At 56.4% G+C, this 16660-nt stretch overlaps 1 protein-coding gene across 58 annotated transcripts in view, besides 1 other annotated feature; it reads right to left on the minus strand.

The window, feature by feature from the left end:
• RBFOX3 (RNA binding fox-1 homolog 3) overlaps positions 1 to 16660 on the minus strand; it is a 576227-nt gene that overhangs the window by 279231 nt on the left and 280336 nt on the right. The gene's annotated exons all lie outside the window — the stretch shown is intronic.
• Positions 5159 to 5322: a silencer, noted in NCBI's record as "fragment chr17:77369816-77369979 (GRCh37/hg19 assembly coordinates)". NCBI's record gives its function as "represses an EF-1alpha promoter that drives an FKBP-Casp9 reporter gene in an ReSE screen in phorbol 12-myristate 13-acetate-treated (for megakaryocytic differentiation) K562 erythroleukemia cells {active_cell/tissue: K562(+PMA)}" and the evidence as "EXISTENCE:reporter gene assay evidence [ECO:0000049][PMID:32094911]".

The following is a 16660-nucleotide window of genomic DNA, read 5'->3' on the forward strand; positions in this document are numbered from 1 at the left end:
GTGACCTCATGTTGCCATGAAAGACACCACTCCCTGGATTGTTACCATCCGAGAAGGTGCTGGAAGAGCTGACCAGATTCCAAGCAGCAACCAACCCAGAGGTCCTCGCACACCAGCCCGATGCTGGTCCGAGGCCCCACGCTCAGCCTCCCTCCAGCCAGACACACGGGTGTCCGGGAGGTTGATCCTCAGCCAGGGCTGACACCATTAGGGCCATGGAAATGTCATGATTTCTTTTAAAATGAGAAGATAAAATGAACTTTAAGGGCCAACGATGCTTTTGTCTTTGTATCCACACTGTGGCAAAATCTACTTTTCACTATTTTTTGATGGCAGGAGATGGCCCACACAGGGCCCATGACAGGATGCAGCCATGGGCTTCACGAAGGCAGGAAAAGGCAGATCCCAGTCACTCGCTCACCGCCGCCTGCTATCCAGCCCACGGCCCACCACACAAGGAGAGCGAGGAGGGGCTCCAACCACACCAGCTCTGCCACCCCTGGACAGCCTGGGGGCATCTGCTCTGAGCTGTCTCACTGCGCCCAGTGCAGCTGGTGGGCATCCGGTGGCACTGTGCCACTCTCCAAGCACACGAGCAACGGGCAACTCTGGGTGGGGAGGGGCTGCCCATCAGCCGGGGTTGACCTGTGGCACCGGGTGCCAACACCATCTTCCCACCTCCCCAGGCACGGCGCCACCTCCACATCTGTACCCAAAGGCACCGGAGTTTCTACCACAGTCTGCCCCCACTCCCCGGGGAGGGGCTGATGGGGGCTCACCAGAGGGGTTGCCCTGGACCCTGACCGTGACCCTTGCCGTGACTGCTGGGGGCAAAGGACACGCGTTTCGGAGGGTTTGCTGTTTTCACCCCCAGAACTCAAATGGCCTTAGCAAGACAGGGCTTGTCTGGGGATCCCCTCGAACACCAGGCATACACAAGGCGCCTCCTCCCAGGCCTTTCCCTTCCTGCCACCCCAAACTCTGGGTGTGTGTTCTGGGGCATGGTTGGTGTTGCTCTGGTTAGCGTTGAAAGCCGCTCCCCTGCCACCACCATCTTGGTCAGTTCTGCCCGCAATGGCCTTGGGAGCCCACGTGTGTCTCCAGGTGATTCTTCACTGCTGTTGCCTCCCCTCTCCCTAGAGGGCCTTTCAGGTCCTGCAGCTCCTGGTGCCACCCCAGCTCAGGCTCTCTCTGCAGCCTCGGGAAAGATCATCTGCCCGCCCTGATGGATGGAGATTTGGTCAAACATCTGAGTGTCTATCCCCTGGCCTTGTCCCTCCTGTCCCCTCTTTCCCTCTCAAAGAAGCTCCCACGGAGAGAGAATTCCAGCTACGTCGGTGCAGAGTGGCCTTGGCTGAGGGTGAGCACTGGGCTGCAGGTGCACATTTCTCCTCTAAGCCCCACCAGACGCCCTTCGTTAGATGGAGTTTGGGATCCCACCAAAGAGAAGGCTCTTGGCCAGCAAGGGAGTTCACACCTGGGGCCTCGCTGGCTTCCAGCCCTTCCTGATGCTCCCTGCTCTGTGGTGACCAGGTCTTGGTGCCAACCCCATCATCACCAGAGCACCTCTCTCACCAGGAGCCAACGCTCACAGAGCCAAGAGGAAAGAAGTCACTGACAGCACTTGGACGTCAGAAAATCTTCCAGATAGATTCCCCAAGGAAGCAAAGCTGGAGACACCACTCTGCCCGGGTTGCCACGTGTGCAGCCCTCCCATTCCCAGCAGGGCCAGAGCCCCACCCAGTGCCTGAGCCCCACCCAGGGCCTCACTTGACACTTGCAGAATGCACTTGCTGCCACCTCAATGCTGTGGCCAAGGTGGACACATCCGACCATGCTCACATGCTCACATACACATGCACACACCCTGATGTGCACAGTCACATACTAACATACACTCACACACGTGCTCACTCACACAGGCACACACACGTACACGTCTCTGGTACACCCTGAAATGCACACATACACTAACATACATACATGTGTGCTCACTCACACAGGCACACACACGTACACGTCTCTCATACACCCTGACATGCACAGTCACATACACTAACATACATACATATGTGTGCTCACTCACACAGGCACACACATGTACACATCTCTCATACACCCTGAAATGCACGGTCACATACACTAACACATACGTGCTCACTAACACACACAGGCCTACGCTCACATACACACGCACATGTCTCATGCATACACCTTGACTTGCAGTCACACTCACTCACACACAAGCTCACTCACATATGCACACAGGCACATGCACACACATGCTTCTCTGGGTCCTTAGTTCCCAGGGCCAAGCACCTTATCTGGAGAAACCAGTGCCCCCATGTGGGGCCAAGCCAAGAACACCTGGAGCTCCCAGCAGGTGCTTGTGACTGGGAAGGCACCTTTCCTCTCCTCCCCCGGTAGGGGGTTAGGGAGGGAAGGGGGACATGCACGGCAGGGGACTTGGGGAGGCATGCACGGTGGGGTGGCTTCCCAGGCCAGCACGGTGTCCCTCCTCCTGTCTGGGTGTCCCTGGGCCACCTGCTCTGCACTGGGGCCTGGGACCTCCTTCTCTGCCTTTCTTCACTGAGGGACCATGGCGAGGGGCCACAGTGGCGGCCCTGTTGCCTCCATGGGGCAGATTAACCCCACTTTGCTCTGCCTGGGCACCTGGGTTTGGAAGGTTCTGGTACGTTCCACTGTGAAATGGGCACATCCGAAGGGCTGTGAATATCTTGCTGCTTTAGAACAAATGAGGAAGCTTTGCCCGTGGCCAGATTCCAGAGGAGCCCAGGGCTTCCGTCTTCCTCAGCTGAGTGCCCATGCTCGCCCTCCCCTTTCCTGCTCCCTGTGGGGGCAAGAGCTCCCTGGCTGCAGAGTGGCCCTTGTTGCTGGGCTCCATAGACCCCATGCAGTCTATCAGGGGCTTTGGCTCCTGAAGGCAGAGCACTCCTTGCTGCTCCTGACACCACTCTGTTTAAAGAGAAAATCGAGACGCCCAGAGTGTCCAGCAGTCCCTAGGGTTAGGGGCCACTCGATGAGGAAGGTCCCACCAACCAAATGTGGTGGGGGGACACGTGTCATCTCCAGGACACCCCCAGCAGCCCTCACGCTCTTTCCTCTTCTCGAAAATGTGGAAACCACGTGTTAAAGATGGCAGATCCTGCAAGTGGGAGGGACTGGGGCTTGGGGTCACCCTTGGGAGCAGAGCCTCGCCCTGGTCAGCCGTGCCCTGAGGGACCTGGCATGGTGAGAAGCGTGTCTCTGCTGTGTCACGACACTGAGATGGGGAGCTGGCTGTCCCCGCAGAAAGCATTGTTCAATTCATACCAAAACCAGGATCAGAGGATCGAGGCTCCTAAGCAGGCCAAGGAGAGGTGCAGAGCAACCACAGCCCACAGGCAGGTTCGGGGAGACCCTCCCCGCAGACGCTTCAGTTACAGGCAGGTTCGAGGAGACCCTCCTCGCAGACGCTTCATTTGGGCCTAGCACGGTGAATGCACCCTCTAAACGCCAGTAACTGCGAGGATGACTGTGGCCACGGCAGCCCTCAGCAATGCGCTGCCCGGTGCTGTGAGGGCTCCTTCCCCAGGAACAGCCTGCCCCGGACAGCACTGCCTGCCCGCAGGACTCTGTCAGCTGGCTCCCCAGCCTGTCCTATGGCCTCCCCATACTATCCCCGGCAATCCTATGGCTCCCCTGGGTCCTATAGCCCCTCTATACTATAGACCCCCCCCTGTCAAATCCCCCCCATCCTATGTCTCCTCCCAGGTCCTACAGGCCCCACCTCCCCATCCTGTGGATCCCCCTAAGCCCTATGGGCTCCCCCATCCTATGGCTCTCCTCAGTCTTATGACCCCCCAGTTTTATGTCTCCCCCCTGGACTTATGGGCCAGTCCATGGCTCCGCCTCTGTGTGATGGATGCTCCCAAGGCCAGGCCTGGCCCGGGCTCCCACCCCTGCGGGTCTTTCTCCATTCTAAATCCCCCCCAGATCCCTGCCAGGATGAACAGCCTAGCTCAGCCCAGTCTCCTGGCTGGAGGCTCTGGGATGTCAGCTCCCCCATGTTTCCTGGGGACTTCCTCCCCACCCACAGGGGCAGGGCAGGGACAGACGTGTGAGACACACCTGATTAACCCTTCTCATGCTCCAGAAAAAGGGGAGTCTGGGCAGGGACTGTTGCCCACCTTTGCGTGGGCATCAGGAGGAACCAGCATAGAGGTAGAGCTGCGTGTCCAACTGGCCGCAGGTGTGCTGGGGGAAGCTGACAGAAAACATGAGTCTGTTCCTGAGATTTTTCTGGTGCAATTGCGTGAAATGAGTCTATAACGCAGAGCAAGACAGGGCAGAAGGTGGGCGGGGACTGGCAGGAGTCAGGGGCTGATAAGGAACAAGGGCCAGCAATTAGAGCCCAGCCCAGGGTGGATGGGGCCGGCCCACTGGACTTTTATCTCACTCCTCGGAAGAGGAAGCTCACGTCGCCTCTCAGCAGGTGGGGCAGAGGCCTGGCCTCCAAAGCTTGCAGAGACAGGGGTGACGGCAGGGGAGCAGGTTGATTCCAACCCCATTTCCATGTGTTACAAATGCACCGGACTCCCCCAGCTGTGGCCCAGGCCTCAGGTCCATGAACCCCTCCAAGTTCTTCCCTCTGTCCTCCCCACCCCTACGGCCCCCACACATACATACTCAACTCCAGCTCCTTAAGGGCCTAGTCGACACCTCTCCCCACATTTCCATTTGGAGAAAATGAAGCTCAGAGAGGGAAGGGGGCTTGCCAAGGACCCAGCCCAACCCTACCAGGCACTCGGGCTGGGCGTGGGAGCATGTCACGTGCTCAGAGCCTCTGATCATGAATGGCAGCACCAGCCTGAACCCATCCTGGCTCCATTCAGAACACACCTGAAATCCTTTCTCCAAAGTGCTCTGTGAAATGGGTCAGAGGGGCCAGACGGGTGCTTACCTGAACACACATCTGAGCATTTCGCAAACACTCCATCTGAGGACTTGACGCCTGCTGGCCTGAATCTGTCTCGGTGGTTTTACAGCCCACACTGGAGGCCCCTGGGGTGCCAGCATCATTTTTATGTGTGAGTTCCACACGGCTGCTTTCTCCTGGACAGAGCTCCCCCTCAACCCCCGAGCAGGAGCCGGGCCTACCACCTGCCCAGCAAGTCACGGGCCACCCTGGAAGGACACAACCTCCTTCCTCCAGGGCAGGCTGAGCGCAGGGACCAGTTTCCTCCCATCTCCCTACGGTTTTGTGATGAGTTTTCTTTTTTTGTTTTTGTTTTTGTTTTGAGACTGAGTCTCACTCTTGTCGCCCAGGCTGGTGTGCAGTGGCGCGATCTCGGCTCACTGCAACTTCCGTCTCCAGGGTTCAAGCGATTCTCCTGACTCAGCCTCCTGAGTAGCTGGGATTACAGGGGCCCACCTAATAATTAGCCCAGCTAATTTTTGGACTTTTAGTAGAGACGGGGTTTCGCCATGTTGGCCAGGCTGGTCTCGCACTCCTGACCTCAGGTGATCCACCTGCCTCGGCCTCCCAAAGTGCGGCGATTACAGGCGTGAGCCACCTCGCCTGGCTTTGTGATGAGTTTTCTAAGCACCTGGTGCAGCTGCTTCCTCTACATGGAGCAGATTCCAGGGAGAGGAGGGGCTGACGAGGAGAGTGGGCGTGAGAGAAGTAAAGACGAGAAGCCGCAGCTTCCCAGGGCAAGGGACCACCATCTCCCAGAGGGGTTTCCAGGCGAGGGGGCTGGTGTGTGGGTGGTGGTGCGGGGGCAGGCTGCTCTGTGTCCAGGTAGAACAAGGCTGAGCCTTTCTTCTTTGGAAAGGACCGGCTTTCCATGCAGAAACAGGATCTGCTAATAGATGAGAATTAAGAAAACCCATTAAGCTAATGAGTTGCTGCTGAAGACTTAGGGCAGCAAATAAAACCTGGAAGGGAGGGCTTTCAACATTTGCTTTAATTTAAATTGAACCAGACTGATGAGAAAATGCGAGAGCTGGCTGCGCCCAGGTACACGCAGCGAGGTTGGCACACGCACGGCACATGTGTACACGCTTGAGGCTCCGTTCGCATGTTTGCGGGCTTTCTCCTTGTTTTCACACGTGTAGGTGTGCCTGGCTTTTAAGAACACTCCATATCAAAACAGATAACTTAAGGAAAGTGTTTTTGCCTTTAGCAAAAGGGTTATTTTCTGGGAAAGATTTCTGGCAAGACTTCTTTACAGACTGAGCCTCCCCCAGTGCATTTAAAATATGATTTGATTGAAAGAAACTCTATTTACTCTATTTCCAGGCAACATCCACAGCCCTTGCTCCTCTCAGCCCAGTGGCTTCCTTCTTCCCAGAGCCCCAAGCTGCGGCTGCTTCCCTCTCTCCCTCCTGCCCCAGCCCTACCCACCTCCCTTCCCCTGCCGCTCCACCAGCCTAAGGGCACCACTCTCCTCACCTTGCCAGATCCTGGTCCCCTGGGCTCGCCAAGAGCCAGCACACCAGGTCCCTGCCATTGAATGACACCCTGTGTTCCTACAGTAATGTGACATCCCCGGGAGCAGGAACACGGTCCTCCTAAATCCCGTCATTTGGTCAAGACAAGTTTCCTCCAGGAGATTCCAGAGAAGAGTCAGTGAAGGAAAATCATTTCCCAGGCAGCTGGTCAACAAGCCTTGATTATGGATCAACCCACGCTGCAGAGACTTGTGGAAGGCTGGATGGGTAAAGAGGGGACAGGGCCCTCCCTCTAAGAAGCTGCTGGTCCAGTTAGGAAGACAGAAGACACACACACACACACACACACACACACACACACACACACACGAAGCTCTTCAGTGCTGGGGATGTTGAGGGTGTGTATTTGGGGAGTGTTGAGGGTAATCAGGGATAACATACTCTCGGCCCCCAGGGGAGGCCCCAGAAGCAGGGTGACGTGCTGGGCTCTGGGGAGGGAGCAGCGTTCTGGGAGAGCTCTCTGCCACCTTGTTGCCATCTCAACTCAGGGTGGGACACACAGGTGTGCAAAAAGTTTCTGGGGGCTGAGCAGACTCGGGCAAGTGGCTGCAGTGATGGAGGTGGGGTGAGAGGGGATGGAGTTGCCCCCTTGGAGGCCATAAGGGGCACAACTCTGATACCCAATTCAACCTCACTGCCAGCATGAAACCCCTCCTTTGAAAGGGGCCGCTGAGCCCAGAGGCTGCAGGACACGGCCCCTCACCGTCAGGTCCATGACAAGGTGAGCCTGCCTGCTTCCGGGTGCCTGGGTTCCAATCCTGGCCCTGCCCCACACCAGCTGTGTGGCCTCGGGCAAGTTATTTAGCTTCTTTGTGCTTCAGTTTCCTTGGCTGTAAAACGGGGAGTGCAGTTGTGCTTCCCTCACAGTGTGGAGCAGGGATTTAGTGAGATTCTGTTTGTAGAATATGAAGATCCATTTCCAGCACACAGTGAAAGCACAATAAATGTAGAGACGATTCTCGTCCTGATCATGCCCAGATGTGGAGTCTGAATGCCCCAGAGCCCAGCCGACCCCCTCCCAGGCAGCATGGTGGCCCTGTGTCCCCCAAGTCAACACCCCCTCCTTCCTTTCTCCAGCAGCCCCTGGGCGAGGAGACTGCCTTCTCCAGGTTTGTCTCTGTCCACTGGTCCCAGGGACTCCCAGCCTGGAATCGACTGGTTGGAATGAAATGATTTCCTCCCATTTTTGGCCCCACTTGGAAAGGAGAGAGAAAGTCCGGTCTCTGTTCCTGAAGCTGCCTTCCCAGTCATGGGTCACAAGCAAAGAGGAGGTGTGGGTGGAGAGGGAAGGTGGGGGTGGCAGGGGCCGGCCAGGCACCCGCAGGACCCTCTCTCTGCAGATACTGGGGAGACTGGAGCTGCCAACATGAAGAAAGCTGGGCCTCAGGTGGGAACCCCCACCCCAAAACACACACAGCCAAGTGTTCAGCTGAATTCTTTTTCAAAATATTGTAAGAGAAGTCATATTCCACCGTGAGCAAATTGACTCAATTAAATTACCAGGGCATCCCCGGCCCAGCCCACTGCGTGTTTGCTCAGCTCTCAGGAGTGGGAGCTGCTGTCTTGCAGCCAGGGCCGCACGGGGGCTGGAGGAAGAGGAGGGGTGCAGATTCCAGGTCCAGTGACCATGAGTTGAGGACCTTGTTTTCAGCAGGTGGGGAGGCTCGCAGGGGGATGGGGGTGCTTCTTTCACCTGTTCGCTTTTCTGTCTCTCCACTGTGGAGACATCGTGAGCACAAGGACAATCTGGTTTCTCAGGGTTCCATTTTCACCTCCCTGGAACCCCGAGATGTGGGAGGTTGGGAAGCCCCCATTCTCTTCTCCCTTGCTCAGTGCCACCCCAGCCTGGAGCCCGACACCTGCCCTCCCGCCAGTACCTCCTGAGGACCAAGGCTCGCTGCTCCCTCCAGCCTGCTTGCAGGTTGAGTTTGGGGGTGTTCCGTGTTGTTCTTAGAGAAACCGCAGTGGGCAAAACACCCTAGACCAAAATACAAAATATCCCTCCTTCTAGAGACTCCTTTTCCTAATTAGGCTACTTCTGGGGCATGGCTCTGGCTTTCCACTGCCCAGCTGGTCTTGCATATTTGTCTAGACACACAGAGCACACGTGTACACAAAGATACACACACACTACACAGACGCACAGAGATGCAGAGACGTGGACCACAGATGCATACAGACATAATTACACAGAGACGCATACAGAGCCCTGCATGGACACGTGCACACGGAGACACAGGCACTCTTACACACAGACATGCACACCCACTTGTAAACGGAAACACATCCATGTGGAGACACACACACTCATACACACACAGACATGCACACCCACCTGTAAACAGAAACACATGCACGTGGGCATGCGCACGCACACACACACACCATGCTCAGCGACATCACTCCGAGTTGGTGACATCCTCCTGACAGCTCCATCGCACCCATGCTGTAGGTGCGGCGGCCGAGGAACTCCCCTTTGGTAGGACGCAGAGCTGCACTCAGGCGGTTCCACGGTGACAGCCGGAGCAGGGAGCCAGAACGGCATTGTGTCCACGGGGGAGGGGCATCGAGCTTCTGAGTGCCAGCATTGTAATCAGGGGCTTGGGACACCGCTTGGGGTCCTTTATTTGCCCCTCTGCCCTGCATCCCTTTGGAAACTGCAGAAGCCCACGGCTTTCTAGGTGTGCGTGTCCCTGGTGACCCGAGGTCGCTGCCCTGGTGGAGGGCAGCCTGGAAATGTGTGGGCACTTGGCTGCCTGCGGGACTGGGTCACCTGAGAATTCCCAGCACTCTAGAGAGGGGGCAGGGCATATCTCCGTCAGGCCCAGGGCCCATACAAATACTTTCATTTATTTTAAAAACAGAATAAACTTTTAGGTTAGGGAAAGTGTCTTAATATAGGATAGGAATATATTCATTTTTATACCAATGCAGTCACAAACTATAATATTTCTTTATGGAGGAAGCGGATTGTGAAGGCACAAGTGCCCGGACCCCGTGACTCCCAACACAGCCTCTGAGAGCACATCCATCTCATAGGGGGGGCGCATCAGGGGTCCCAGCGGGTCTCCACCGAGCCCAGAGCCCTGGAAAGCACCGAGCCTCCCCGTAGGGGCTTAGCCCTCATCACCACTCTGGACACAAAGAACTGAGCCTCTCCCACTGGTCCTAGAAGACTCTTCTCCTAGAAGAGTCCAAGAGGGGCTCAGAGAAAGGGACAGAGCAGCTGACTCCCTTTCTGGAGCCTGGACTAGCTTCATGAGGGGGATCCCACTTTAGTAACACATGAGTTAGACACAGGCATGCCCCAGACCATAACTTCCATCCCAAGAACAGGTAGAGGATATATTTAAATAATACGATTGAGAGCATTAAAAAATATCGCACTTGCCCAGGTGTCGGACTCGCTAGGACATAACCCGTGGCCGCCCTTTTGGGATTGTGTTCACAGACCCCAGGAAGCCAAGGACAGGGTTCGGATGGGTGGGCTGAGCCCGGGACAGAACCTCCCAGGTGCTGGGGCTGTGTGGGGGGCCCGGAAAAAGAAACCTCCTCTCGCTCTCCTGCTCTGCACTCTCCTGTCCCCCAGCCTCACCTGGGAGCCAGGCTGTGTCCCATGTTAATGCAGCTACTTCACACAATTACCCCAAGTTTCTCCAGTAGGGGCTAATGGATAACATTTGCTAATCACAGCACATTGATCTCAGCCTCGCCCCCGGAACCCTTTCCCCACTGAAAGGCTGGCAGGGAACATGGATCCTGCTCTCCACAGCCGCACAGTGGGTACAGGGGTGGGGAGTCTGGTCACCGGCACCTGCTATTTGCCTCTGCTCCAGCCCCAGGGCCCAGAGGCCCCGTCCAGGCTGCACAAGCTTCGGAAAGCGGGTAGGAGCCTGGGTTCCGTGTCCCAGCCCTGGGTCTGACTCTGGCCATGCCTCCTGGGGAGGGGGATTCTCAACTGGGGAAGCTGTCACAGGGGCGATGTCCATCCCAAGCCTGATGGACACGTTCCACCACCTCTGCCACTCCCAGCCCCATCCTGGCACAGGAGGGCAACCGTCCCATGGCACGCGTCGGGGTGAGCCAGCCATGCGCTTGCTTATTTGTGGCTGCTCAGCTCCACGCAAATAAGGGTTTGCCTGTTTCACTCCCAGGGCTCAGGATGGGCCCGCACATTGTGGGGTCACTGCCAGAATTCCCGACTCCTTGCCTGCCCTGGGGACTCAGGTCTCGGGGATGACCTCCTACTTCCGAGAGCTCACAAAATCCTCCTATGAATGGAAAAGTCGAAGAAGGGGTGTGTTCTGATTCTACCCCGTTTTCGTTTTGTTTTAAGGTCCTCCCTCGTTCACCTAAGGGAGACACACACTTGTCTCCATCTTCACACCTTTCTCAATGTCCTGGATTTTCTACATTAAGCACGGATGGCTGTTTTGGTCAAACACCACTATCATTTTAACCAGAGAGAATTACACCCTGGCCTTGAAAGAATGAACACGGGTGAGCAGGGACCTCGGAGACTCAGCCTCTCAGGGGCCGGCGTTCCAGGCGGGAAGCTGGCTCCAGGGCTACACTGCGCTTGTGGTGAGGGCCACACAGCTCAGCCCCCGCAAATCCCGGATGGACTCATCTGCGCCCCCGAAGATGGCTTCCCTCACATCCAATTCCCGGTCCAGATCGGACTCCAGGGTGTTTCATGATTTCAGGCCCCCAAGATGCCATCCGGGTCCTCACATGTGACCTACAGTCCCCTCCCTCTAGTTACCCACCTAAGAAGCACAGAGCGGCTCTCAGGCCCGCACGAGTCTGCATGTGCGTCCTGCAGCTCCTCCTGCCGCGGCCTCTCCCGCACCCTCCTTGGTACAGCTTCTCCCTCCCTGTCCGCACATCCCCGGCTCTGCTGTTCTGCTTCTCTTCCAAATTCTTCCCCTCCATCCCTCTTTGAGTCCCTCTGTTAGTCACCTCCCACAGCCCCACTGCAGCCCCTTCCTCTCCTAGTCCATGACCGCATGGCCATCATCTCCATCTTTCCCCCAACCCTCAGCATCTCTAACCCTCCCCGTCTGGCTCCCCCACCTAACAAATCTCCACAATCCCCCCCTTGCCACCCCTCCCCCAGGCTGCCAAGCCCATCTCCAGCACACGGGGCAGATCTTACAGCAGAAGGATTTAATTGCATGTCAAAATTAAATCTCTTTTGATGAAGAACAATTCAACTACGGCTCTGCCTAATCAAATTAACAAAGTCTTTTTTAATTTTCAATTATCTTCTTCACAGGAACACTTTATCCAAGGCTCTTGTGAAGGTGGCCGACAGGCTGTGCATTCACAATGAAGGGCCCTAGCCTGGACCTGCTGACCGTGGCCCTGGCTGTCAGCGCCCCTGGCCTGGGAGAGGGCTGCACAACCCCTGGGGTCTGCCCAGAGCCTCCTTGGCCTCTTGGAAGCCTTTCCTAGATGCTGAGCCAGAGAGCAGGGACCGTTTACTGCAGCATTTGTCCTTTGGAAATGGGAGAAAAATGGGTGAGGGGCAGGCACTCAGGAGAAGGGGCTGGAAATCGTGGGGCACCAGCTTTGCACTGAGAACCAAGCTGAGCATTTTGGATGCATTTGGTGAGCAATGGATCCACAGTGGCCCTCAACAGAACAGGAGCCTGGGTTCTACCTGCGTGCTCTGGTGCCCTGCCACCACACTTTCTAAACACCTCCAGCCTCCACCACACTTTCTAAACACCTCCACGAGCACTTCCGTATTTGGACGTCGCTCCACGAGGCACCTGTGTCGGCAGACATTGCTGCCCCAAGACCAGCTCTGTCCCGTGGAAATGCAAGGGAGCCACACATATAATTTTATATTTCCCAGTAGTCACATTAAGAAGGTAAAAAGAGGCCAGGTGCAGTGGCTCATGCCTGTAATCCCAGCACTTTGAGAGGCTGAGGTGGGCGAATCATGAGGTCAGGAGATCAAGACCATCCTAACTAACACGGTGAAACCCCGTTTCTACTGAAATTACAAAAATTAGCCGGGCATGGTGGTGTGTGCCTGTGGTTCCAGCTACTCAGGAGGCTGAGGCAGGAGAATCGCTTGAAGCTGGGAGGCGGAGGTTGCAATGAGCCAAGATCCCGCCACTGCATTCCAGCCTGGATGACAGAGCAAGACTCTGTCTCAAAAAAAAAAAAAAAGTAAAAAGAAACACGTGAGATTCATGTTAATTTTTTTCACTTAACCTGATACATTCTAAACATTGTCAGGTCGACATGTGATCAATGTAAAAACCATGCATGAGATGGTGTACATGTTTTTCTTTGTACGGAGTCTTTGAAGCCCAGCGCGTGTGTCCCCATCACAGCACCTCTCTGGCTGCACTGTGAGTGCTGAGGAGCTCCCCGGGGCTCGGGGCTGCCGTGTCAGACAGCGCATCCTGGGCCACAGACGTGTTAGGGCCGGTCAGGCAGGGCATCTTCTGGTGTCCATGTTCCCCTCAACCCACACACCGGGCCTGGCATCCAGCTGTGCGGAACAGGCACTTGGTGTGTGAATAAACTGACCACCTTGTACGACTTCGATCTGTTATTGAGGTAGGGGCAGAGTTGGGGGCAGGACTCTCCTGCTAGGGGAATCACCCCTCTTTTCCCATTTTCTGAACTCTGAGGGCCCCTCAGCAGCCAGCAGTCTCCCAGGCAGGCCTCAGCGCCTTCCTTTCCCATCTCCAAATGTTGCAGCTCCCTCCCTGGACTTGAGAGCCCCAGGAGGAGGTTATTTGGAAACGCAGACAGAAGGGAACCAGCCTCTCAGCGGGGCCCAGGGGTGCACTGAGGAAATAAAACCGAAACCCGGTGTCACCATCATCACAAAACATATTTGACAAAACGTCTCCAAGGACAGCTCAGTGCTCCATGCACTCCGATACCCTTCCAACAGCAGCCGCCAACAGAGCCCCCCAGGGCATGGCAGAAAAGGTCCAGAAAGACTAAACTCACACACTGCGGGACCCACAGAATAGGAGACCGTGCTGGGCTTCAGATCTCACCCTGGGGTGGCCTAGCCATACCCAGCCACCCAGACTCAGTTTCTCTGGGGCTCTTGTGCCACCACCCAACGGGAGACGATGGTCACATTCACTGAAGCAAGCTTTGGGCACCAGGCACTCGTTCATCTGCTGTCCATGGAAACCAGTTGTCAGGACAGCAGCATCCACTGCCCAGGCTTCCACTGCATCCCTGCAGGGATGGGGGGCTCTAGACCACTCCAGGTTGGGGGCTAAGCCTTCCTTGTGTCCCACCAACTGCGTTACCAAACAGCCTGTATCTTGTCATGACAGTGGCAAAAAGTGTACTTTCCCAAGAGCAGCCTGTGTTGGGCGGCACGTGGTTACTCCTCAGGGGGTTCTTGGGCAAACCTGTTTCCCATGTCCTCTAGGGCAGGAGCCAGAAAGGCTGACACGGGCAGGCGGGGCCCCTGTGAACTGGTTCCACATGTGCTTGCTGGGGAAGCCAACCCTTGCGGTCATGGGCAACCCTTTCTTTGAACCAAAGACCTGACCAGATTGGCCACAACCACACTCACGCGCATTTCCAAGGCTTCAGTGCCAGCATCCTCGCAAACAGCTTCTGAATGCCATTCACCCAATGTGGTCCTGGGCAGCGCCCTCTTGCCTATCGCCTCCCAGGCTCCTTGCAGCCTGATGCAAAAGGAACAGGGCTCCTGCCATCCTGGCGTCCATGCTTTGGGTGCTTGCTGGTGGATGCCATCAGGGGAGCCTGAATGGGGCATTTCCAGAACCTTGCTGACCTCTTAATGAGGTTTAGGGTGGGGAGGCCAGGGTGACTAACTTGAATGGCTGGTTTAAATTTTCTTAACGATGGGCTTTAGCTATTAGGACCACATTTTCTGGGGCTGTGTGGGCACATTTCCAAATCAATCAATCTCTGCCTCTCAAACACACACACACACACACACACACACACACACACACACACACAGTGTGTAGAATCAATACCGCAGCCTTCACCAGAGCCCTGGGGTCCAGTATCTGATTATTGTCCTCTTGAGATCACAGCACAGAAGAGGATGGGAAAAGGGGTGTATCCATAGACCAGGGACAATATCACATCACACAGCCTGCCTGGGGGCTTCCAGCCACCCCTCGCCTCCTTCACCCAGGTTGTCCGGCCTCTCCCCAGGACAGGCTGTTGTCTAGAGGGTCTAACACGGCTGGCCACGTGACCACTGCCTCCCCAAGCGGCCCAAGAAGGTGCAAAGGCACCCTCCACCACCCCACGGCCGCGGCGGTGCACCAGTAAAAGTAGTTAACTGTATCTACCCTTCAGCACAGAGACTTGTTTGATCAAAGATTTAGTCACTTTTTCTCCCCTTCCAGCACAAAATCTTGGGCTTTCTTGACAGAGAATTAATTGCTGCTGATTAAATTTCATTGCTGAAGGAACACGCATCCCTGGAGGAGTACCCCCCCGATGGCTGCCTCCTGCCCCAACGTGTGGAAAGTGCCCCTTACAGAGTCAGAGCATGGGACACCTGAGGGGTTCCTAGGGACTTTCTGTGGGTGCAAGGTCAGGAAAGTACTAGAACATGTGGTGGGAATCATGATGGTTAATGCCCAGAGCTTGGTGGGTGAGGATCAGGGGCACCCCCTGGATGACTGTAGGGCCTGGGGAGCTCAGTGTCCCCTGCCCCTCCATCCTGGCACACAACACCCGGGAGATGCTGCTGGAAGAGCAGAAAGAGGCCTCCCTGGCCAACACTGGGTCCTGGCATTCCCTGCCTCTTATTTCAGAGGTGTAGTGGCCCCCGGGACCCCCATATGTGGCAAGGAATGTCAGAGGGGGGGGCAATCAGGGTATGTGGGGGAAGGCAAGATTCAGGGTTTGGACCCAAAGCCAGACACGGGGCTAGAAGCCAGGCTTTCAAAGGTCAGACTGGACTCTGGAGGCAAAGCGGGACTCGTGTGAGTTCTCGCAGCCGCCACATGCCCACAGCAAGGAGAGGACACCTACAGCGGGCTCAGGGCGAGGGCTGTGGCCAGGTCAGGCAGGTCCAGGCAGGGGAGCTGCACTTTCTGGGGATGTCGGAAAACAAAGAGGGTTTCTGAGCCTCCAGGACTCACTCTGGGGACCCCGGTAAGGGGAGCGAGGAAGGTAATGAATCTCCCAGGAGGCCGCACTGCCAGGCACTCTCTGTAGGTCTGTTCAGAGGGAGCTCTTAGAGGCTGTGGGGGAGAAGTCCACCCACAGGACATCTGGCCACGCCCTCCCTGTCTATGCCTAACAGACTTACTTGCTTGTAAGGGGCTGGTCCACCTCCCTGGGAGTACATTTCCTGGCCCAAGAGTGTTCTTGCAGGGTGACTGCACAGGGGGTTTAAGCAGGCTGGACTCTGGAGAACCGTCTGCCCTCAAAATGCCCCTCTCTGTGGTATCTGCAAAGCCAGCTTCCAAACCCATGCAAGAGAGATGCACCAAGAATCAAGGGGCCGGAGCCCTGCCAGCACCCTCCTCAGGCCCACCCAGGCCTGCGCATCTGGGGACCAAGGCGGTCAATACAGTTGATGCCTCGGGAAGTCCACAGACGGCCAGGGGTGAGGCCCAAGCAGGCTGCAGCCTCATACACCAGCGCTGACCCAGCTGGCGGGCCAGTCACCTGCCGTGGAGGAGGAGCTGCTGGCAGGCTGGCTCCCACCCACACCGGCCCCTGAACACAGCACATCTAAATACTGGCTAGCAGTTGTTGGCCAAGAGTCCAGCGGCAAAACGCATCTTCCGGGGGATGTTTCAGTGGGGAGGGAGACCTTCCAAACTTCGGCAGCTACACGCCGGCTGCTGCCCACCCAAATTCTCCCAGCATTATCTGGGGAGAGGCCCAGAAGGTCCCTGGAGCCTCATCAGATTGCCCTTCCAGGGCCTGGTTCAGAGGCAGGGCTTTGTGGTGGGACCAACATTTCCCGGCCCCTGCCAGGCCCTTGCAAACCCCTCGGGTCCCAGGAATGCCCTGGCTCTTGGGCCCACCTGCCACAAACATCAGCAGCTTGTCCCAAAACACCTAACGTGCATGGGAAATAACTGGGAAGGGCAGAGACGGGAAGGGGAGGACAGAGCCTGGGAAGAGAGCTCTCCAGGGTCCCACAACA

This window comes from Homo sapiens, chromosome 17 (assembly GCF_000001405.40).
Source record: "Homo sapiens chromosome 17, GRCh38.p14 Primary Assembly".
Taxonomy (NCBI): domain Eukaryota; kingdom Metazoa; phylum Chordata; class Mammalia; order Primates; family Hominidae; genus Homo; species Homo sapiens.